The sequence below is a fragment of the Homo sapiens genome, chromosome 10 (assembly GCF_000001405.40).
Source record: "Homo sapiens chromosome 10, GRCh38.p14 Primary Assembly".
NCBI lineage: Eukaryota > Metazoa > Chordata > Mammalia > Primates > Hominidae > Homo > Homo sapiens.
In genome coordinates, this window is record NC_000010.11 from 63,249,492 (window position 1) to 63,274,412 (window position 24,921).

The following is a 24,921-nucleotide window of genomic DNA, read 5'->3' on the forward strand; positions in this document are numbered from 1 at the left end:
GACTATACAGCACAACAATCTATTGTGTATTTCCAAATAGGTGGAAGAGAATAATTTGTTTATGGCATAAAGAAAAGATAAATATTGGGCCGGGCACAGTGGATCATGCCTGTAATCCCAGCACTTTGGGAGGCCAAGGCAGGCAGATCACAAGGTCAGGAGTTCCAGACCAGCCTGTCCAATAAGGTGAAACCCCGTCTCTACTAAAAAATACAAAAATTAGCCAGGCGTGGTGGCGTGCGCCTGTAGTCCCAACTACTCGGGAGGCTGAGGCAGGAGAATCGCTTTAATCCGGGAGGCAGAGTTCGCACTGGGCCAAGATTGCACCACTGCATTCTAGCCTGGGCTACAGAGTGAGACTCCATCTTAAAAAAAAAAAAAGAAAAAAGAAAAAGACAAGACAAATATTTAAGGTGTTGGACATCCCAATTACAATGATTTGATCTTTAGAAATTATATAAATGTATTAAATTATCACATGTACCCCCCAATACATGTACATCTATTATGTATTGATAATTTTTCTTTTTTTTTAAGAGACAGGGTTTCCCTCTGTTACCTAGGCTGGTGTGCAATCGCATAATCATAGCTCACTACAGCCCCTTCAACTCCTGGGGCACAAGTGATCCTCCTGCCTCAGTTTTCCAGGTAGCTGAGACTACAGCCACACACCAAAATTAGCCATGCCTGGCTGATTTTATTTTTTTGTAGAAACAGGGTCTTGCTATGTTGCCCAGGCTAGTCTTGAACTCTTGGCCTCAAGTGATCCTCCTGCTTTGGCTCTTAAAGTGGTAGGATTATAGGCTTAAGCCACTGCACCAAGCCAAAAGAATTTTTAAATATAAATACAGATAAGTACGTATATTTATAGACAAGACAAGATGAGGAAAAGATACCTTGGAAGTGATCAAGACTAATAAAAACAAATCAGCAGTTCAACGCTCATTTATAGTGCTGGTAGTGGGTATCACTAATTAACTGCACACTCTTACTTAGCCAGGGTAGAGCCTCACAATGCTTCCCAACACTAACATGCCAAGCAGATGCTACCAACTGATGTAAAATTTCCTGACTGATATATATGCAATAAATATTAAGAAAAATTCTTAACACTAGGTTTTGTTAAACACTGGAAGGAACTGTTAATATGTGATGGAACTTAATGACCTTGAAAAACGATATGGATGTGCGATGAGAGAAACAGTTAGAAACTCATCCTTTGGAGGTGGGTTAGGTATGGTATTTTTGCTTTTATTTTTGTTTTTAAGGGAGAGTATCTCACTCCGTTACCCTGGCTTGAGTGCAGTGGCACAATCATAGCTCACTGCAGCCTCGATCTCCTGGGCTCAAGCAATCCTCCCACCTCAGCCTCCCAAGTAGCTGGGACTACAGGTGCATGGCACCACATGTGGCTAAATTTTTATTTTTATTTTTAGAGACAGGGTCTCGTTATGTTGCCCAGGCTAATATCAAACTCCTAGCCTCAAGTGATCCTCCTGTCTCAGCCTCCCAAAGCACTAGGATTACAAGCATAAGCCACCATAACCAGCCTAGGCATGAGCCACCACAACTAGCCTAGGTATTGCGTTTTTCAAGTCCACATACTGGATGTTTTGGGCCTTTTGGCTTGAAGACTTTACATATACAAAGAGATCTCATATATCGTGTTGTTGATTCATCCTTGTTATACAGAATTCAACATTTACAAAAATGGCTATTCCATAAATGGCAAATGGGAAAAGGGCTGTCAATTGGGAATTAGTTCCATATATTGTACTGGACTCTCAGGCAAAGAACATCTGAAAAAGCACTGGGTATTTTTGTTGTTATTGTGATTTTTTACTAAAATAAATGCATTGCATTTATTTTAAAAATACCTTATTACTTTACACAACTGACAGATACATTGGAATATATTAGTATTCCTATTTAAGTGCAAATGTGAAAGATTCCTCATTTATAATTAACAACTTTTATTAAATAACTAGGTCTAGACAGCTAAGAATACTTGAGTGAAGCAATCTGAAGAAGATATTAGAAGAATTTGATCTGGAATTAGACTGGACTGAAAGGAGATTGTGGACAGCCAGGAGAAAACACCATAGTATCTAAAGACTCAGGAGGAAGCAGAACTATTATAACCATTCAGAAAGGAAAGACAGATACTATACTTTCTCATATTTAGGATGCTGAAAGCACCTGGTATGCCACATAAATACTTTGCTGTCTGTTGCCCACTTCTTCGTCAACTTGGCAAGATTATTTTAAAGGCTTCCACTTGGGTGGCTGAGGTGGGCGGATCACAAGGTCAGGAGTTCAAGACCAGCCTGGCCAACATGGTAAAACCCCGCCTCTACTAAAAATACAAAAATTAGCTGGGCATGGTGGAGTGTGCCTGTAATCCCAACTACTCGGGAGGCTGAAGCAGAAGAATTGTTTGAACCCAGGAGGTGGAGGCTGCAGTTGAGACAAGATCGTGCCACTGCACTCCAGCCTGGGGTGACAGAGCAAGACTCCGTCTCAAAGAAAATAAATAAAGGCTCTCACTTTCCCAATTGTCTTAATCTATACCTATCCCAATGGCTCTAAATAAAGGCTGAAAGGGGATGGGAAATGGCTCAGGGATATCCATTAATGAATGAGAGAACTTGCCAAAGGCATTTTATTTGCTAAGTCAGAGGTACAGATTCCTACTATGCTACAAATGCATGACAAAACTAAGAATCAAATATGAATAACAGCCATGACTGTTAATTTTAAGTGTCAACTTGACTAGGAAATGTTGCCTAGTGGTCTGGTCAAACATCATTCCAGATGTTGCTCTGGAAGTATTTTTAGATGTGATTACCATTTAAACCAGCAGACTCTGAGTAAAGCAGATTACCCCTAACACATGGATAGGTTTAATCCAATCAGTTGAAGGCCTTAAGAAAAAAGACTAAGGTCTCTCAAGGAAAAATGGATTCTGCCTTCATACTGCCTTTCAGACTCAAAGACTGCAGCAGCAAGTCTTGCCTGAACTACTAGCCTGCTGGTCTACCATGTGGAATTTGGACTTGTTAGTCCCCACAATTCCAAGAGCCAATCAATAAAAATCTCCTCTTTCTCAATTTCTATACACAAACATATATACAACCCCACTTGCCACATCCCATACTGGTACTGTATGAGGAGAACCCTAATACAGCACTCTACTGAGAAACACTACTACAGAACCCTAGTCTTCTGAGAAGTAAAGAAAAAGAAACAGGCAACCATAAGATATTCCCCCATCAGCTGATTCTATACTACAAAATACTATGCATACAGCTCTATTTCAGAACTTCTGGCATGTTGCTGTAATATTTATGACCTGAAAGAGAATCAAGTATTTTATCTGTCTTTGAGTTCACATTTAGAGCAAAGTGACTGGCACACAGCAATAAATGAATGCCTATATGTTATAGCTCAGCAATCACAGGATCTTCTTTTTCCTCGAATCTTAAAAACATATGTTTCCTACAAGGGAGGTCTTATGCCTAATAATTTACAAGGCAGGAGTTATACTCAAGACATTGATCTGGTATTTCAGTAAATTTCACCAAAACAGAATAGTACACTTTAATGATTTATCTTAGAGTGAGCAATCATTTGAACAAATTATTCAGCGGTAGAAAAGTGGGGGGAAAAATAAGGTACTGGAAGTAATCAAAACAGTGTGATACTTGCGTAAGGACAGATATATAGACCAAGGGACCAGAATAGAGAGCACAGAAATAAACTGTTACACAAATGGTCAACTGATTTCAAGGGTGGGAAGAGCACTCAATGTGGAAAGGACAACTTTTCAAAAAGTGGTGCTGGGGAAACTGGATATTCACATGCAAAACAATGAAACTGGACCTTTATATTACACCTTTTTTTTTTTTTTGAGACGAAGTCTTGCTCTGTCGCCCAGGCTGTAGTGCACAGGCACGATCTCGGCTCACTGCAACCTCTGCCTCCCGGGCTCAAACGATTCTCCTGCCTCAGACTCCCGAGTAGCTGGGAATACAGGCGCCCGCCACCATGTCCAGCTAATTTTTTTGTATTTTTAGTAGAGATGGGGTTTCACCATGTTGGCTAGGCTGGTTTTGAACTCCTGAACTCAGGTGATCCGCCCACTTCAGCCTCCCCAAGTGCTGGGATTACAGGCGTGAGCCACCGCGCCCGGCCTCATTTTTTAAAAATATGGTGTAATACTGCACCAGGCGCGGTGGTATTTAACCAACCGTGATGTCCTAGTGGCTTAGCTAATTTCTATTCATCCTGATGTAACTCAGGGGTCACCTACTCTAATTCTAACAATACCTCCGCATCCCTACGACCAGAATGAATTCCTTATTCCTCCCTGGTCTCTGCTACTTACTACATTTTGCTTATATTTGTTTTTCTATGTGTGTTTCCCCCATTAAATTCTAGGTTCTTTGAAGGTATTTGTAGTTCTGAACATAACAAACCTGGCCCTTAAATATATGAATTAATGACTCTCAATCCAGATTATTTAATGACTAAGGACCAGTACTGTTTTGTTTTTAGTCTGAAGCCTAGAAAGACTTGAATTTTAGAGACAACTGTTTTGGCAAGAGACTGACAAGGGCTTCATTTTAAAGTATTTTATTTTTGAATTTTAGCTTTGAGCAAATCTAGGTATTCAGAATACCCATATGCACAACCAAAAAAACAAACAAACAAACAAACAAAAAACAGCAAAACAAAACTAGACAGCTGAAAAAAAAGAGACTAGAAAACATCTTAATATGGATTACCTGCCGAGGGAACAAATGAATCTGAAAATAATGCACAGATTTGGAGTGTAGCTTGATGCCAGTGTACGCAAAATCTAGGTGAAATTGTACAGGCAATAAAATTCAGGAAAAACTTAGTCTTTTATTTAGGAAAGATATTAACTATAAGAAAAATAAAGTGCCACACAAAAGAGAATGATATGTAAATAGGAGACACTTCACACTGGATGGCTCACAAAGGCAGGCAGTGTAACAGAAATAATATCTTATACTCTAAAATTTTGAGTTCAGGTTTTTTTTGAGACAAGAGTCTCACTTTGTCACCCAGGCTAGATTGCAATGGCAGGATCTCAGCTCATTGCAGCCTTGACCTCCTGGGCTCAAGCAATCCTCCCATCCCCGCCTCCCAAGTAGTTGGGACTACAGGTGTCCCGCAAAAGTTTTTTTTGTTTTTTGTTTTGTTTTTGGTACTGGTAGAGATGGAGTTTTGCCATGCTGCTCAGGCTGGTCTCGAGCTCCTGAGCTCAAGTGATCTGCCTGCCTGAGCCTCCCAAAGTGCTGAGATTACAGGTGTGTGCCACTATGCAGCATAGCTCCCCCCCTTTTTTTTTTATGAGATAGGGTCTCCCTCTGTCACCCAGGCTCAAGTGCAGTGGCGAGACCATGGCTCACTGTAGCCTCAACCTCCTGGGCTCAAGCGATCCTCCTGCCTTAGCCTCCCCAGTAGCTGGGACTATACACGTGCACCACCATGCCCTGCTAATTTTATTTTTTTGTAGACAGGGGTTCTCCCATGTTACCCAGTCTCAAATGCCTGAGCTCAAGCAATCCTCCCACCTCGGCCTCCCAAAGTGCTAGGATTACAGTTGTGATCCACCATACCCAACACAGGTTCTTTTTTGACTATCACAAGCTGTGTGAACCTAGATGCCAAGTCACAGCTGAGCTAAACCTCACTTTCTCTGCCTACCACAGAAAATTACTACCATATATTCTCTTCCTTATATTTATTTCTTCTTTTCAACGTTTCATTCCCCTATGCCATCTATCTGTAATTTTAGTAGAAAACATAAATATTAGATTTAAAAGGTCTTGTAAAGGAGCGGGGACAGGTAGGTGAATTGATACTGACACACGTAAGTCAAATGAAAACTAGTGTTATGAGAAGCAGTATCTATGAGTTAGCAGAATAAACCCGTCAAAAAAAGGAGATTCTGGAGAGGGTTTAAAGGGAATATGTGACTTGAGTTCCTAACTTTCTAGTTCCCAATTCCAGTCTGAGTAAAGTTCAGCTGTACTTTCTTGAAATGGATGTACCATGACATTGCCTGCTATATCATCACAATACTCACACCCTTTTAAAACTTAATCTACTTTACATCGTTTCTATTTTTGCTTCCTTCTCATCTGTAAGTTAGACTTCTCAAACAGTTGTGTGGATTAATAAATTAATATATATCCTGAAAGCATTACACAAAATAAGAGAATACAATCTATTTTCCTCATAAAGCTAACATTGGAAATAAAATAATGCACATGAAAATATTTTGGGAATGATCAAATTCCCAAAATTAAATTCTAATTCTAGTAAAATATTACTATTATACTGAGGAATAAAACTCTAATTCTGAGATTTTAAATAATATGACATGCTTCAGTAAGATTATGCAATTAAGAAAAAGAATAAATCAATCCTATGATCTTATTTTGATTGGAAAAAAGAAACCAGAAAATCTTTCTCAATGGTAACTAGTGATGGCTTAGAGTCTACAAGCATAATTTCACATACTTTAAATTCATAGCAGCAGCTATGAAAATTTAAAAGGAGACTGGCAGATTTTTCAGCATATGATCACAGCAGATTTGGGACCAGGAAAGAACTACTGCAGTGACTTATAAATGTTTTTAATCTGAATATTGCAGAATAGCTCATACTTGGGCCAAATTTCAGTCAAAATAACATGTTCCTAAACTCCAAGGATACATTTTCAACACATCAAGTTTCGCAACCAATTTTTACAAATGAAGAGCTCCTTTTTTAAATAGCAACAGATATGTACTGGGGTAATTTATGGGACCTTAATAAGCATGTTTCATTACTATTTTTGAAATTATAGCTATATAAAATCATATAGGTAGGTAATAGAATATTTAAATAGAATACAGAGCAAAATTACTGAATATTAAAACATGATATGGCAACTTTATATTAAAAATAATTTTTAAAAAACAAGGAAGTATATTGACTCTGCTTTAGCTGCTGGTTCCTCTTTTCTTGTTGTCCATCCTACTATCGAGGCTTCAGCTTAGCTCTACTATTGCAAGCTGTCACTTTTGACTTGAAATGGAATAAAGCCAAATATTACAAAATAGCTGTTTCCTGTTCTGGCCTCGTCTCCTAGACCACCCCCAGGCTTTGCCTGCCCATGGATGCTCATCCTACCAAGCCAATAATCTACCAGTAGTCAGTTCATAGTTATGTATTTTTAATACTTTTGGCACAGTATATATGCCACAACTGTTCTCATTTTACTGATTTTATGTCAACAAGGCACCTCTAAATTTTAATCAAATGTTAAAATGAAGGCAAAGTGAAATGGAAAAGGGAGATGCATATGAAAAGTCAGGGAGTAACTGGGAATGTGTTCGACGCCTGTCAAAATATAATCCAGAAACAGATATAGAAAAAGAGAGTAGCCAGGCGCAGTGGCTTACACCTGTAATCCGAACACGTTGGGAGGCCGAGGTGGGAGGATTACTTGAGGTTAGGAGTTCGAGAACATCCTGGCCAACACTGGTGAAACCCTGTCTCTACTAAAAACACAAAAAATTAGCCGGGCGTGGTGGCTCGCACCTGTAGTCCCAGCTACTGAGGAGGCTGATGTGGGAGAATCACTTGAACCAGGGAGATGGAGGTTGCAGTGAGCTGAGATCACTCCAGCCTGGGTGACAGAGTGAGACTTCATCTCAAAAAAAAAAAAAAAAAAGAAAGAAAAGGAAAAAGAAAAAGAGAATAGAAAGTGCTGAGTAAGTACCATTAATCTAAATGATCCTGGTTTTCCAATTCTGCAGAACATCTGATTTGCATCTGGCACTCTAACTGAAAAGTTCTTTTAAGATAAACCTAGCTTTAGTTGAATGCCTCTTATCCTAAAGACTAAAATAATTAGGGCTTGATTCGTTTAATGTTGACCAGAGAAGGCTGTTTTTTCACCTTTAACAAGTTCACAGAGCTAGTGTACTCACTGCTACAAAGGTCATTTAGTCTAACTCTTTTATTTAATGCTTAGGGGACTTCTAGACCTTAGTATTATAGCTACAAAGTGTCTTCCCAGAGCCAAACAAAGAAAAATAATTTTGTACCTTATTGAATATCACTTCTACTTTCTGAGAGAAAAATAACTATCAGCAACAAGTAGAGTACATGACTTTCCCTGTGGAAAAAAGGTAAGGGTGTGCTGTAAAGGATACCACCACAGTACAGTTTTGTTGTCATCTTTTCTAATATCATTTTCTTAAAATAATAGTTTAAGAAGTCACAATGAAATCTTACCTACTTATTCTTCATAAAAACTGGGAGAAGAAAAAAACACTACTACAAAAACGTGTTCTATTATACACTGTCTATGGGTTATATTGAGAGTTGAAAAAGTTTGTTTAGCACCAGCTGGAGAAAAAAATGCTAAGAGTTCTAGGGAAGACTAGTAAGAAAGATTGTTAGAAGTAAGCAGCAGATGGTGGCAGAGAAATAGTCAATGAGTGTGTGAATGGTAGGAAGAGAAAGGAGTTTCAAATATCCACGAAAAAGGTTTAAGATACCATTTATGAAAAGGGAAATTTACAATATGTCTCTTATTGAGCAGTTTCTGTACTATAAACTCTTTACTGTATCATTTCATTTAATCTTTCTAACAACCCTGAGGTAGACAGTATTTACAGTTGAGGAAACCATTTATTCAGAGCAGCTGAGACTTTCCCAATGTGAACTAGCTAACAAATGCTAAAGGTAAAATTTGAAACTAAGTTTGCTTGAACTGATGTCAAAATTCATGCTCTTAACCATTATGCTACAATGAATCTCTAAAAGGTTCTAGTGAAGACCCAATCAATTAGCTGCTTCTGATATTTACAATAACCAACATGCCATTGTTACACAGATAATTTTGTTACTCTCCTGAGAACTGTGCTTAGTGATCTTTTCCTCTTTTGTCTGACCCCACACCATGTGTATCCAGCATTAATTCTATTCATAAACTCTCTTCTTTAGCTAAGCTGACATTCTACTGTCCCCTAAAATACTTCAACACCAATTATGCTGTTCCTCCTGGCAAATGTCTGGATTACCATTACCACCGCCACCACCAACCACCCCACCAACCCCACCTCATCCTTTCACTTACTTCTTTAACCATTTCAGTCTTTATTGACTTCTCCTATCTTTGTATTTCGGAAGTTTTTACTTCAGGCTCCTTAAATCCAGTCTACTTCAAGGAAGTCATTTTTTATGTCAGTTCTTATCATAGATTATAAACTTCTTGACAATAAGATAAAGATCATTACTTACAAGACTTTTATCAACTTTAAAAAATCATTAAACAACTAGCAGGGAGCCGTGAAATTGGTAAAAAGTAATGCTAGAGCAGTGACATGATACCACGAAAATGACAAATCTGAAAGGAACTGTAGGACAAAAATAATTACGGAAGTATACTAATAAATACTGTACCAGGTCAAATTCTCATTCACACTATAGAAATGTTACATTTTTAAAACAATCTAAAGTGATCTGTCTGTACTATAAGCTGAAGTGAAGGTAAAGTTTGAAAAAGCAAGTCCCTTCTCCACCATACAAAGCACTGTAACAGGAAGTTCTGTTTACTTCTTTCTGTAAACTACTAGTAATATCATATTACCCTGAGAAATAAATCTGCTTATAAACAAACCTCTATCAACAAGATTTCAAACTTTGTCAGTGGACCACTTATGTCAAATATTTAATTCAACAAATTACAACATTTGTCTAGTAACGACCAAACAACTGGTTAAATTGTTCACCTTGGCTGACTAATGGCTAAAATTTCACCTTATTTGCATTATTCCATCCTGGTTGTGAAGCAATTCCAAATGCCATAGGACAGTAACACAAATTTAGGAGAAAAAAAAAATACATGTCTCTGGTACACTCTACTCCCTAAACTACTGCAAACTTACCCTAGGCAACTGTTTGAGCTATTTTTAGTAAAACAGATGTGTTGAGCAACAATTACCTTAGGGATATTCAGAAACCACAGCCAATAAATTTATATGATCAATGATGAAAGAAATATGGGTTAAAATGGATTCAAACTGGAAAAACTATCATTGAAAGACTACAGAAATAGATAAACAATCTGGCACAGTCCAGACACATTCATTTACTAGACAATGTGTGAGTCTTCTCTGGTTAAGTCTTTAAGCAATCTTTAGTCCAGGTACTAAGAAAATACTCAGGTTTGTTCTACCCATTCCCTTCAACCAGCAATTCACAGCACAACAGTACTGTATTTAGTATTTAGTAAAGTACTGTAGTTCAATGTCCATACTCTACAATGATAGAACTGTAGTATTAACAGTCTTATCTCCAAACTTTATCAGCTCATTATGATACAGAACTTTTTTTTTGAGACAGAGTTTCACTCTTATTGCCCAGGCTGGAGTGCAATGGTGTGATCTCGGCTCACTGCAACCTCCACCTCCTGGGTTCAAGTGATTCTCTTGCCTCAGCCTCCAGAGTAGCTGGGATCCAGAACTTCTAATGGAATCATTCCTTCAGGTCTAGGATTTATGATTCTACCTTATTTTAGGGAAAACACCTCATTACTACAATGAATTTTAATATACTGTAAGATAAACATGCGGTATAATTTTGGACAACCACATTCCGTATCAAATCTCTAACGGTTTTAACTAGTGACCTTTGTTTTATTTCTTTATTACATTTAAAAGCAAAGAGGAATGTGATGCCTAAAAATACTGGACTAACAAGCCAGACCAAGCCAGGTTAGTTGGTATGAATCATGTACAACTTTCAGGTAAGAAATAATCTCTTCCACATTCTCTATGAAGCAACCCCAACCTGAAAACTGTAGGTGTGTGCACGGCCAGTAGCCAAAATCCATGATAAAATGATTTCAAAATCATGCTAAAAGCTAAATATTTCATTTCATTATCAAAATTTTTATGTGAATGTGATCAAAACTGTTATCAAAATTTAATGGAAAGTTTTTTTGAACTTCTATAATCATACTCCAAAGTAAAGCAACAATACCACAGAGATTATAGTAACAACAAAAAAAAAACTATTTTTTTTTGAGATGTAGTCACGCTCTGTTGCCCAGGCTAGAGTGCAGTGGCGCGGTCTCGGCTCACTGAAACCTCTGCCTCCCAGGTTCAAGCGATTCTCCTGCTTCAGCCTCCAAAGTAGCTGGGATTACAGGCGCCCGCCACCACGCCGGTTAATTTTTTTTTGTATTTTTAGTAGAGACTGCATTTCACCATGTTGGCCAGGGTGGTCTCGAACTCCTGACCTCATGATCCGCCCGCTTCGGCTTCTCAAAGTGCTGGGATTACAGGCATGAGCCACCGTGCCTGGCGTAACAAAAAACTATTAAAAGTACCTTTAAGAAGCAATAATTTATTTTCTCCTCCTTCTTCCCAGCTAGCTAAAAAACACAGTAGAATCTGCAGATTTCCCCACTGCTTCCTCTCCCTTTTCCCTTCCCCCCTACTTCAAAGAATGTTAAGTGTAGCCAGGCATGATCAGGAAACCTAAAAGGAGGAAGTAGAAACTTATTTGTGTGCACAGGGAAGGAGAAAGACACTTAACAATATCGAGGCCTGTTGCTTCAGTGGCCTAATTAATATATATCCATTATACTCTCTGAAAATGTTGGTTCAATTTCTCTTTTTAGTCATGTTTCTTTCCAAAATACTAAAAACTATAATATATAATGATTGCATCCTGGAATACCCAACTAAACGTCACCCAAAAATCTGACCAGTGCCGGGCGCAGTGGCTCACAACTGTATTCTCAGTACTTTTGGAGGCCAAGGCGGGGTGGATCATCTGAGGTCAGGAGTTCAAGACCAGCCTGGTCAACATGGCGAAAACCCATCTCTACTGAAAATACAAATATTAGCTGGGAGTGGTGGTGCACACCTGTAATCCCAGTTACTCAGGAGGATGAGGCAGAAGAATTTCTTGAAACCGGGAGGCGGAGGTTGCAGTGAGCTGAGATTGTGCCACAGCACTCCAGCCTGAGCGACAGAAAAAAAAAGAAGAAGAAGAAAAAAAGCTGACCAGGTTAACTAACTTAATACTTGCTATCTGATATTCAATACATTCAAATCATTCAGAGAAAAGAGTGGGCTTCAAACCAATGACTTAAAAGTGAAAGGACTTGTATTAATCCTGACTCATCTGTTTCCTAACCACTACCTTAGTTTATCATTCTGATTTAATGAAGAATAAGGCTGTGCAACTTGTAAAGGAAACTAAAGAAAAACATACTGCTACTGAATAAAATGCTGAGAAATCAAGGATAAAGGTGGCAGACTGGGAATTCCCACTGAAAACATTTAATTAGATTCACAGCAAAGCATCATTTCTGGAAATTTTAAAAACTTACATGTACCTACCACTCTAGACTAAAAAATAATATACACAAAGGCCATTTCCAAAGAGAATTTTCCCCCACCTACTTAAAAAGTTTATAAAGGATAATTAGCATCCATATTAAGAAACTGCCTCATGAAATTTTAAAAAGTGAGAAAGAAATAAGCTCAATTAAAAAGCTTATTCAAGTGTACCCAAACTCCCCTTGACTTACAGAGGGTTACCCTAAGGTTGAGATAGGTCAAGGCACTATTTACAAAATTTATGCCAGTAACAGCTGCCATTTTAAGAAGCTAAGGAATTTAATGTACTGCTTGGACAACTGGTTAGAAAACAATCAATCTGGTATAGAGCCATTGTAATTACACGAACTCTAAATTTTTTTTTCTTCTTTCTAGAACATTTCTGTATTTCATAAGATTTATTTAAATAAATAAATTTAACCATCTTAGGTATCTGTAGTAAATTTTCATTCAAAATAAGATAAATGTCTATCATTTACACATGGGAGAAAATATTTTTATATTTATAACCTGATCTTATTTAAAAACCCTAACTATAAAAAATGCACATAGAAAAGCTCTGCTATAAACCAGCACTTAGTCTAAAATTCGTAAGAAATTCTAAAACTAAGGTATGCTAGATCCCAAATCAAGTGCTCTCATGTTAATTCCTACTGATTTCTTTGAACTCGGAATTCACATTTTTCAGAAACACAATGGTTAAAATGTCAAGTCAATCACTTCACTTCTGGAAGATATGGCATCCTTCTAGGCCAGAGGGTGACTTAGTATATACACTAGCAGAGCAGATTAAATAGCTTACTAACAGAGACAAACATACAATTCACTAAACTGCGTTAAGACTTTAGCTCTTATGCCTCTCAAACTGTTTTAAAAAAAGTTAGGGTACCCCCCCCACTCTCCCCCAGCATATTCTTTCAATCATTGTAATTTTCAAAAACATGTCGAGTTTTAGGCCACCTGGCAAGAGTTTATTTTTAAAAGTAATTTCTACATAACGATTTCACTTCTCTAAACCAAATCCAAGCTGAAACTTGGTTCCAAAAGTGCTAATAATACAACCACAGAATTAAAACATTAAGATTTGGAAGGTTCCTTTGATTTCACCTAGATTCACCTACTCTAACTCCCTCTAACTGACTGGGGGAAATGAAATGATAAGGTCTGTAGTAAACTAAATGGTATTCACAATTAACAAAATAAAACCCCAGGGAAAAGCTCCAACACCTCCACTATTAAATTGGGATTTGCTATGAAATAAATATTATAAACAAAGAACAAAAGCTAACAATACAAAAAAACTAGGTCCTTTAAAGAAACAAGAAAAATCAAGTGGAAAGACAAGAGCACATCTATATAGACTTCAAAACATGAAATAATGTTTACACTAAATGAACTAACATCTCATTTTGGTGGACCTAAGAGAACTATTCTAATTCCCTAAGTATTACAAATCCATGCACAACAAATAACTGCTCATTAACACAAGCTCTTGTTCTCTCCATGGAAATAATAGCTCTACATTTTATTTTTGAAAAACAGTAACAAGTCTGAAATAAAATAGTATTAACTTTTTACTCCATTAGAAAAAATTTAAACTGGTTCACTCATCCTTTCTTTCCATGCAATTACTGTATTATTTTAAAACATCTGAGTAAAAAGAAATCTATAATATATCCATTTAATTCAACCTAAACTCTAAATATACAAATGAAGGCCAGGTGTGGTGGCTCACGCCTGTAATCCCAGCACTTTGGGAGGCCGAGGCGGGCAGACCACTTGAGGTCAGGAGTTCGAGACCAGTCTGGCCAACATTGTGAAACCCCATCTCTATTAAAAATACAAAAATTAGCTGGGCGTGGTGGTGTGTGCCTGTCATCCCAGCTGCTCTGGAGGCTGAGGCAGGAGCATTGCTTGAACCCAGGAGGCGGAAGTTGCAGTGAACCAAGAACGTGCCACTGCATTCCAGCCTGGGTGAAAGAGTGAGACTCCATCACGGAAAAAAAAAAAAAAAAAAATACACATACACACACACACACACACACACACACACACACACACACACACACACACAATTCTGTGAGCTTTACTTATACCTGAAAAAATTAACTGGTAATTTCAACAATCTTAAAAAATATTTAGCTTAATACTTTTGATGAGTTTCTTCACATAATTAAAAGCTAATAGTCAACTGGAAAATGTTTTCCTAATTAAATGTATTTGTATTTAAATTGCAATAATGGAGAACTGAAATTTATATATAAAATCATTCAATTACTGACAATCTAAAAAAATTTCCCCTTTAAAAAAAGAACTATTATGCTAAACTGATAGGTATACATAAACACTAATCTCATTTAATTATATTAATTTACCCAATTCTTAACGTTTAGCATTGAAGACAATTTATACTAATATTTAACCAATTATTTTCTAATAATGATTATTTAGAATGTCAGATACTTTATTTTGTTTACTTCTGTATTCCTTGCAACAGAACACTGCCTGGCTCATAGTAGGTTCTCAGTATATATTGTTAATTGAATTAATAAATCGTTTATCCTATAAGCAAAATCAACTGACTGCATTCATTGGGTTTTTCACACAACTAGAAGTTAGATGAAATGATATTTAAAGAATATTGTTTAAAGAATGTCTGAATATCAATAAAGTTTAATTAACCTTTAATTTTAAAAAGTAATCTAAAATTTCTTACCTGGTAGGGCTGAAAGGCACTATCTTCAGTTAAAAAATCCAGTTGCTTATCTACAAGGAATTCTACTGCAGTGACTGAACTGGGTATATTTCTTTCAACCAGAGGTTTGAAAGTCTGCCAAGAAAAAAAAAATTTCTAATGATAATTTTCTGGGTAGTATCCTGAAATTATGAAGGAACACACACCAATACAATGTATCAATGTCATTATCACTACAGAGTCTTAGGGTACCTAATATTAATTTTCATATTATAAACTAATGCTTTTATCTACACCATAAGGTATCTGTGTTTATTTAAAAGAAACAAACTAGATCTACATGTGATATGGGCATATTTGAGTATACTAAGTCCCAACTGTTTACTTTTAAAAAGGGATGTAATAAAATATGCATGTGTGTAAAAATGTCTGCTTAAAAAGAGAAATTGCTTTTGAAACAGTAAACTGGGTTGTAGAGCTATTTACCCCCACCTTTTTTTTTTAACTGTATTATTTCTTATTAAAGAGAGTAGTTATTATTTCAATGTACACTTTTTGTCTAGCTCATTCACATTAAGCAGGATTTTAAATGATCAGGAAGTATCTGGTCTTTTAACTCCACCCCTTGCACTCCCACCCCCGCCCCTGCACCAAGCACAGATAAAAATCCCGCAGCTTCGGTGAGAGAAGCATGGAGGAAGGGAGTAGAGAGAGTCCGGTAAGAAGTACTACACAAAACTCTACTTTGCAGTCAAGTCCAAATCTCCACTACTTCTTTTAAAAAAAGTCAATCCAAGGTCATTTGATTCCTTTAAGAAGATACCTTTAACATATGAGATTTAACTCGTATCTTGGGTGGGGATGACAGGGACAGAGCCAGGGTAGGAAGAGGAAGGAAACAGGGATACAATGTATAAATTTCTTTATGACTATCACACTCACTTTCAAAGTAGATGAAGATTAAATAAAATACAAGTGTCTTATATTCATGGTACTGTTCTAAAAACTTGAAAATGAAAACAAAATTCCACCATTTTAAAAACACAGCTGCTTTACTATAAAAAAATTTTTTAACTGGAAAAAAGTTCGGAAAACAGAATTAATAATCAACTCAATTTCTAAGTTACCTATATCACATGGAGAAATCTTTCTAGCTACAGGGTAATTTGTGTTAATATTTCCACACAAAACAAAGATTTTGGCATAGACAGTACAAATTACCAGGCATTTCAAAATCATTGTGTTTCCCCTTTCTCTTATTCTGTCTTAAAAAATATATAACATTTTGTTAATAACAATAAACATACTCCAGGGAAAAACTTCAAGATGTTTGGTTTGGAGTGGCTTTTAAGGAGTTAATTTCTATATTTAAGAAATTCCTAAGAGGAATTTCAGGTTGACTCACTGCAATCTGTAACAATGTTTCAAAGTTAAAAATTTAATATTAAATTTAAGCAAGTCTTATTTCTATGCTATCTACATCATGAAGTTACAAATAATATTTTCTTAATTAAAAAACAGGAAAAACTCTCTTATATTCTCACTTATTTTCGATATTTAAGATCAGAAAATCTAGTCACAGTAATATCCTCTCTCCCATATCCTAGGCTAACCTTTTAAGCACTCTATTATTTATCAAAATTACTATTATTTGGGTGAGAAATCACATTTTCAAAATAGAAAATCCTCACATTATTTAGCTATTTCCTTCTACTGTTATCATTTAACACTTTTCAATTACATAAAATCCTATAGGATTTCATAAAATCCTATTTATTATTTTACTTAAGTGACAAAAAGTTTGTAAGAAATTCAAGAGCATTTATTGTATTTAGGCTTTAAAAGTGTCCACCACTACGTGACCAATTGACATGAAATATGTAACATAAACAGGGATATTCGGCTGATCCCTACTGTAAAAAATGTTTTTTCATATTATATCTCTGTCAGTTTAGTTTTTAAGTAAACTAGAAAACACTGGCATCTTCTCAAGAGGACTTTTAATCCTTGAACATTATCAAATGATCTATTTCTTTTCAAACAGTACCATATCAGGTCAACTCATGAAGGTTAACAAAAAGGTCCACAAAAGGTATTATCTAAGTGGCTAAAGATACAATTCAATTAAGTAGGATTTGAAAAAGAAGTAAAGTTCTCCTTCTGGAGTGCCTCTTTCTTACGCAAATAATACAGGTGGCTTGCATTTCCTATGAGACCTAGTCATTTTATAATATGAAAAACATTCTTCTGAAGAGAGCTCTCCTTTTCAAGGTAGGCCAGAGTTCTAAGGGTAAATTTCAACAAGCCGACCAATGATTTAAATTATTCTAAGTTAATTTGAAAAAAGGATTTCTAAGCTAAAAAAATTCTCACGTTTTAAGATGTCTCATTGAAAGCCAAGTAAAATTTGGCTACCAGAAATCTAAGAAAACTAGCTGACAATGATCAAATTTGAATACTCTTACAAGGACATGAGTACTTATAATCATTTACAAGTGGAAGTCCAAAGTATATCATGCTTCTTAAATAGCAAATAAAAAGTGCTGATAAATACTTTTATAGTATTTGTTAAAAGAAATGTTTCAATATTTATTAAATGAGAAACAGTGAATATGTGTGACTGCTCTACTTTAAGGAAAAATGAAAGGCAAACAACATATGAAGTGATATTAAAATACACCCCGGTTTTTTTAACTGGCAAAACAACCATGTTAAGTATTGCTAATTTTTGTATTAGTCTAGTACATTTCAAAGGAACATTATAAGTTTAAAAATAATAAAAAACATATTTAAATAAAAACAAATGGGTCCTACAGCTGGTATGATGAAATTTGTAGTAAATAGTTCATGGGTCTAGGTGCACTGGAATGTAAAGAAACTAGAACTCATGCATAACTAATTCAACACTCTAAAGATATATCATTCTATGAGTAACTTCCACAGCCTAAAGGGAAGCAATGAGCTAACATCTGATGAAAGTCACAGTAGAATATGGCCCTAATCACAAAAGACTATCATTCAAATGCTCTAAAAAGCCTTTGAAAACCAAAATGAAAATTACTAACACTAAATGTTCAGTTGAAACAAAATGCTTTTTCAATTTTATTAGAGTGAGAGTTTTTTTTAAGGTCATTTATCAGTGTTAAACATACTTTTTAAAAATAGTCTACGGCCAAAATAAATATAGTTGAGAGCCTGCATTTCTAGTAGGGCCTACCAAACTATAGGAAGAATGCTTAGAACAACTGTATCCTGTTTGGGGCTCCATGCTGCACCACATTCCATTCACATGAGGAAGACGCGAACAGATGAGCCCTCCCCGAAAAACATTTTTAAAATAAATCAGCTACAGCTCTTAAACACAACTCAGCTGCTCAAACAAACGATGTTAAAGCTCACCATTTCACATTTAACAGGAAATTCAAGGAGCTTATGTCTGCAGTCTTAGTTTCTAACAATCTCCGGTTAACAGTTAACAATTCCAAGTTAAAAAAAAAAACAGGCTTATTAACTGCAAAAATACTAATATAAATCTCACCAAAGGTAAATACTAAAGCAGAAAACAACCTAAGCAACATTTTAGAAGTTAAGATTTAGTCTACCAAAAAAAAAAAAAAAAAGGACTGGAGTGACTTGAAAGAACAAAGTCCAAATTCCCACCCAAGCAGGTCTATTGAAAAACACGATACTGTTAGAAAACAAGTTGGGGGTGGGGAAGGGAATAACCAAAAAAAAACCTTACAAAACAAATACCCCCACTTTCCTTGAAACACTAGTCTGAAAATCCTAATTTGAAGCACTTCTGCCATAATACTTTAAACAATTAAACTCGTTTTTTAACATTTACAGTTATTAAATTACTACAAACACAATAAACCTTTTTAAACAAATGAAAGTTAAAAATTCTTAAAACTAAAAACATTGAGGCCAGATCTTTTATAAAAGGCAGTGACCTTAATTTCTCAGGCTGAGAAGAAAAACCAAATGTAAATTAAGACAAAAGAAAAAGGAAGCAGAAAAATACAAACCGTACTTTGTTCTTGAGAATTTTAAAGTATCTTTAAATCTCAGAAATCCACAACAAGGCTTTAAAGGTCAGTAAGTATTTGCTGAAATTTCTATTTTGTTCTGGAAGAGTATCTAGTGTAAATACTTCTTTAGTCTTCAAAAATCACAGGCAAATGGCTCTCAAACCAAGCATTTCTGAGCTCACTTGCAGCGGCGTCATTGTATAGGAAGAAAAGCCAAGACCACAGAACGAAGCAGGAGCTGTAACCTAACAAGTCTCCAACGAGCAAATGACGATTTTCTGTCTGCTCTGGCTCAGCCCTGGCAGTGATGAGGATTACAACTCGCTCTTTGTCATCAGCACTGTGGTGTTAACGACTAAGAAATCCTGCAGCTGAAGCACTACTGCATCCTCCGATCTGGGTCAGGATAATTTCTCTCGAGGTCGCTTACATAACCAGTAAGATACTCCAAATAAAGAGAACAGCCATCCATCAGCTGGAGAAAGCCTTTCCCACTGTACTCTGTCTGCGTGGAAACACAGTGCAGTAGCTTCCAACAGTGCAGACACCCAAATGAGAACGAGTACTTGGCTTAGGGCACACTGAGAGAAGGGAAGAGGCGGTGCTCTGTAAACTGTAACTAATCCCCCGTCACAGGTGCTGATGGAGTCACTTCCAGCACGAGTCACATTACTAGTGATTACTCATTTGGCTGCGGCCATAGAGACTGGCTCATAATTTTAACAACAGACAAAGACAGACTAGTGGCGAGACTGAAAGCTCAAGTTTACTGTCTCCTTCATAAAGCAAATGCAAATACTAAGTTTTTGCTTTCCAGATTTACCAAGGTGAGAAAGTGCAGAAAAGAAATAACATGTGACTATCTCTCAAGTTGGTAAAAATAAAGCATCAAATATACTTTGTATGTTTTTGGGCACGATTTATTTATTAGTATAACCATTTTGCCTTAAAAATATTAAAAACTTCAAAATAAATCAATTTAAAATATTTTTAGACAATGATCTCAACAATCTCATAGGCATTTTACTAAAAAAAAACTGGTAATATTTATTTTGGTAGATTTGAAAATATTCCTCAACCATTTTCACTCATTACAAAAAACAACTTAACCTAGATAGTTCTAAGATACAATTTGAAAGCATAAAATGCATTTCTCAGATGTGTTATATAATATAGTCTCTTAACATCTATCTAAATTCTAGAGTTCTGCTGTCTGATGTTGTCCAATATGGTAGTTACTAATCATATGTAGCAACTGAGCACCTGAAATGTAGTTAATCTGAATTGAGATGTGTGATGTACAAAATACACATTGAATATAAAAAAAATTAAGAGGTATCTCATGAATAATTTTATTTTGATATGCTAATATTTTGACATATTGGGTTAAATAAAATACTGTAAAATTAATACACCTATGTTAAAATTTTGATGTAAAGACAATTTAAAATCACACATGTAGCTCACATTTTATTTCTACTGGACAAGAATGCTCTAATAGTAAGTTCTCTCTCTATTTTTTGGAGGACGTAGTCTTGCTCTGTTACCCAGGCTGGAGCGCAGTGGCATGATCTCAACTCACTGCAACCTCTGCCTCCTGGGTTCAAGCGATTCTCCTCCCTCAGCCTCCCAAGTAGCTGGCATTACAGGGACGCACCACCAAGCCCAGCTAATTTTTGTATTTTTAGTAGAGACAGGGTCTCACCACATTGGCCAGGCTTGTCTCAAAAACTCCTGACCTCAGGCTATCCACCCGCCTCGGCCTCCCAAAGTACTGGGATTACAGGTGTGAGCCACTGTGTCCAGCCTCTTCTTTTTTTTTTTGAGACAGGATTTTGCTCTGTTGCCCAGGCTAGAGTGCAGTGGCGCGATCTTGGCTCACTGCAATCTCTGGCTCCTGGGCTCGAGCGATCCTCCGACCTCAGCCTGCCATGTAGAAGGGACTACAGGTGGGCATCACCATGCCTAGCTAACTCTTTGTATTTTTTGTAGAGACAGGGTTTCACCATGTTGTCCAGAATGGTCTGGAACTCCTGAACTTAAGCGATCCACCCACTTCAGTTTCCTAAAGTGCTGGGATTTCAGGCATGAGTCACCCTGACAGGCCTTATAGTAATTTCTCGTTTCATAGTGGAGACTTACGTGATGATATGAGACTGACTTTGGCTACTCAATAAATCAAAGAGCAGAGATGGAATGGAATATAAATTTGTGGCTCTATGTAAAACATCAGGTTATGTCTATTAATTTGTCAGTATAATTAAATTTTAACCTTTAGAGCATCCAGCGAAAATTTGTAAGTTTCTGACTTAGAGCAGGAAAGCTGGCCATATACTTAAGTCAACCACGCTTCTGTATTACAATTTAATTGAAATGGTTTCAGTTTTATTGTAGAAATTACATGATGAAAGAGGAATTATATATGGTAACATGCACTGAAACTTTAAAAATACACTTGTAGGTGCAAGAAATATTTAATTTATTTTAAAAAGATGTATGTAAATAGTCTTTTTTTTCTTTTCTTTTTTTTTCTGAGACAGAATCTCACTGTTGCCCAGGCTGGAGTACAGTGGCATGATCTCAGCTCGCTGCAACCTCTGCCCCCGTGGGGATTCAAGCAATTCTCCTGCCTCAGCCTCCAGAGTAGCTGGGACTATAGACACGCGCCACCGTGCCCGGCTAATTTTTGTATTTTCAGTAGAGACAGGGGTGTCATCATGTTGACCAGGCTGGTTTCGGATCCCTGGCCTCAAATGATCCACCGATCTCAGCCTCTCAAAGTGCTGGGATTACAGGCGTGAGCCACCATGCCCGGATGTAAATAGTCTTTTATTATAAATGTATCCCTATGGAGAAATCTCAATTTCAGTAAATCTAAAAATTCATGCTAATTAAAAAAAATTTTTTTGAGATAGAGTTTCGCTCATGTTGCTCAGGCTGGAGTGCAATGGTGTGATCTTGCCTCACTGCAACCACTGCCTCCTGGGTTCAAGCGATTCTCCTGCCTCAGCCTCCTGTATAGCTGGGATTACATGCATGCACCACAACACTTGGCTAATTTTGTATTCATACTGATGTTTTTTAAATACCACATACATAATCCCTTTAAATCTACTCCAGAAGTATCAATTTCATTTCACAGAAATTATCAGGTTAGCTACTGAAAAGAGGCCGGGATCAGTGGTGGGTGGATCACTTGAGGTCAAGAGTTTGAGACCAGCCTGGCCATCATGGCAAACCCCGTTTGTACTAAAAATACAAAAATTAGCCAGGGCATGGTGGCGTACCTGTAGTCTCAGCTACTCTGGAGGCTGAGGCAGGAGAATTGTTTGAACCTGGGAGATGGAGGCTGCAGTGAGCCGAGATCATACCACTGCACTCTGGCCTGGGAGACAGAGCAAGACTCTGTCTCAAAAAAAAAAAAAAAGAACCAAGAAAAACTACCGAAAAGATATTTTCAATTTAGTATATGATGAACTTGCACTTATAAAAAGAATGAAAAAGAGATGGGCAATGATTAGCCTAAGACTGTGAGTAAAGTATGGCTTTATTTTACAGAACATATTGTGTAGAACATGCATGATCCAGAAGGTAACTTTATTTTTTTGAGATGGAGTTTTGCTCTTTTTTGCCCAGGCTGGAGTGCAATGGCACAATCTCGGCTCACTGCAACCTCTGCCTCCTGGGTTCAAGCAATTCTCCTGCCTCAGCCTCCCAAGTAGCTGGGATTACAGGTGCACGCCACCACGCCCAGCTAATTTTGTGTTTTTAGTAGAGACAGGGTTTCACCATGCTGACCAGGCTGGTCTCAAACTCCTGACCTCAGGTGATCCACCCGCCTCGGCCTCCCAAAGTTGCTGGGATTACAGGCATGAGCCACTGCTCCCAGCCAAGGTAACTTTAGAACGAAGTGTTTTTAATAATGTTGTCAAGTGGATATTAAATCGCATATAACCACCCTAATAATTCATTCATAATTAATCAGACATAAAATAAAAAGAATCTATGTAAATAAAAGAACTCACAATGTCATGTTACCAAACCAAAAAAAGCAAATGCTTAATACAGCTTAATATAACAAACTATCAAATTTTAAGTACTTTAGTACATTTCCCCAATTTATTGTACATTAGAAAATTTCACAGGATTTATCTCATAATCTTGCATAAACTCAAGTTTGTCTACACTATATGATATAGACTTAAAAACAGCTATTTTTGCTTCTCAAGTACTTCAGTCCCTTACAGAATCATATAGCACAAAGTACACTTAGCTAAACCATACAATTGCCTCAAAAGTCATACATTCTTAGTAACACAAATGTACTAATTTTTAGTAAAATTAATGTAATTAACAATACTGAAAAACCAAACATTCATTTTTAAAAAGTATTTCACACTACATCATGGTTGAATTAAAATAAGACTGGCTTCTCCACTACTAAAAATACTATAGAATCAATTCTTGATGCAAAGGATGCAGAGTTACAACTAGTTGGTAATAATGAATGCCTTTTAAATATTTAAAATGGGCTTGACATACATATATTTAGAGATTGGGTCTCACTCTGTTGTCCAGGCCAGAGTGCAGTGGAGCTATCAGCTCACTGCAGCCTCAAACTCCTGGGCTCAAGCCATCCTCCTGCCTCAGTCTCCTGAGCAGCTGGGACTACAAGTAAGTGCCACCATATCTGGCTAATATAAATATATTAATGTGACTGGTCTGGTATTAATTGGTCTGGTACTCTGGTAAATTTTTAACACAAACAAAAATAATGAAGTAATGACATAGAGAACCCACTTGGTATCAAGCATAAATTGCTAGCTTTTACTTCAAGTCTCCTTAATGCACTCCTGTTCTTATAACTCATTAGAGAATGGTAGATCCCACCTTTCACACAATTTAGTCCTTTAAATTGATTGTTCTTATGGCTTATACCTTCTTTACTAGACTGAGGTAAAAAGGTGAAAAGTTAATTTTTGTTTCTTTTTGTTGGGAGGTGAGGAGGGGAGTAAAAGGCCTTTTTTGGCTGCTAAACCAGGCTAGGGGAAGAGGAAACTACTCCAGTTACTGCCCAGAAATACACATCTCTAACTTCCTTCCTTTTTAGTTGGTTTCTAGGTTACAAGCTGAATGTATCAACACAGGTCAGAAGGTAAACAGAGGCTAAAAGGAAGGCAACACTGCCTGCCTACCCAAAGAAAATCTGCTCCTTCCAGTAATGTGAGAATCTTATATGTACAATTTTAGGAGTTAAAATAAACAAAGATTTTGGTTCCATTTATCTTGGGCCATGAAAAGAATACATCTCTCATCTTTATACACGTGGAAGCCTAAACAAACCACTGGATTTTAAAAAATTATACAGACTCAAAAACAAAAAAGCAAAAAACTCTGACAAGTTCAATGATCTAGCAATATAAATATTTTTAAAGACATATGGGTGGAAAAAAAGATGAACAACAATCGTAGGAGGAATTCAACTTGACTGGCCTTACAAGAAAGCTGACTATAATTCATTAAAGTATTTTTCAATAAGCCATACTGTAAAATCTATGAAAATACATAAAAATGTAACTCCTACATCATTGTAATGTCCAAAGGATTAAGTTTTTAACAGTAGGTCATACGCAGTGGTTCACGCCTGTAATCCCAGCACTCTGGGAGGCGGAGGCAGGTGGATCACTTGAGCCCACGAGTTTAGATCAGCCTGGGCAACATGGTGAAACCCTGTCTCTACAAAGAATAAATA

At 36.7% G+C, this 24,921-nt stretch overlaps 1 protein-coding gene and 1 long non-coding RNA gene across 16 annotated transcripts in view, besides 4 other annotated features; both read right to left on the reverse strand.

Annotated features, from left to right (window-relative positions):
• The window catches only part of JMJD1C (jumonji domain containing 1C), a 354,666-nt gene that overhangs the window by 82,267 nt on the left and 247,478 nt on the right, over positions 1–24,921 (reverse strand). For 8 of the 15 annotated variants that reach the window (NM_001322258.2, NM_001318154.2, XM_047424772.1 and 5 more), the window contains one exon: positions 15,160–15,273. The exons of 3 other annotated variants lie outside the window; for them this stretch is intronic. Coding sequence is in view for 2 of the 12 variants with exons in the window: in NM_032776.3 (NP_116165.1) it covers positions 15,160–15,273 (114 nt within the window). In the remaining 10 variants the exon portion in view is untranslated. Of the gene's footprint in view, positions 1–15,159; positions 15,274–19,171; positions 19,753–24,921 lie in introns of those variants that run through there. 4 more of the 15 variants (NM_001322254.2, NM_001282948.2, NM_001318153.2 and 1 more) reach the window with 2 other exon arrangements.
• LOC124900287 (uncharacterized) lies at positions 4,620–11,896 on the reverse strand. Its single transcript, XR_007062158.1, has 2 exons — positions 9,167–11,896; positions 4,620–8,200 (listed from the first exon to the last, which is right to left on the reverse strand). It is a non-coding gene; the product is annotated as an uncharacterized LOC124900287 (long non-coding RNA).
• Positions 19,062–19,587: an enhancer, noted in NCBI's record as "OCT4-NANOG-H3K27ac-H3K4me1 hESC enhancer chr10:65028313-65028838 (GRCh37/hg19 assembly coordinates)". NCBI's record gives its function as "activates a minimal SCP1, AML or CMV promoter by ChIP-STARR-seq in naive H9 embryonic stem cells {active_cell/tissue: H9 hESC(naive)}" and the evidence as "EXISTENCE:reporter gene assay evidence [ECO:0000049][PMID:30033119]".
• Positions 19,588–20,111: an enhancer, noted in NCBI's record as "OCT4-NANOG-H3K27ac-H3K4me1 hESC enhancer chr10:65028839-65029362 (GRCh37/hg19 assembly coordinates)". NCBI's record gives its function as "activates a minimal SCP1, AML or CMV promoter by ChIP-STARR-seq in primed H9 embryonic stem cells {active_cell/tissue: H9 hESC(primed)}" and the evidence as "EXISTENCE:reporter gene assay evidence [ECO:0000049][PMID:30033119]".
• Positions 20,427–20,927: an enhancer, noted in NCBI's record as "H3K27ac hESC enhancer chr10:65029678-65030178 (GRCh37/hg19 assembly coordinates)". NCBI's record gives its function as "activates a minimal SCP1, AML or CMV promoter by ChIP-STARR-seq in primed H9 embryonic stem cells {active_cell/tissue: H9 hESC(primed)}" and the evidence as "EXISTENCE:reporter gene assay evidence [ECO:0000049][PMID:30033119]".
• Positions 20,928–21,428: an enhancer, noted in NCBI's record as "H3K27ac hESC enhancer chr10:65030179-65030679 (GRCh37/hg19 assembly coordinates)". NCBI's record gives its function as "activates a minimal SCP1, AML or CMV promoter by ChIP-STARR-seq in naive and primed H9 embryonic stem cells {active_cell/tissue: H9 hESC(naive and primed)}" and the evidence as "EXISTENCE:reporter gene assay evidence [ECO:0000049][PMID:30033119]".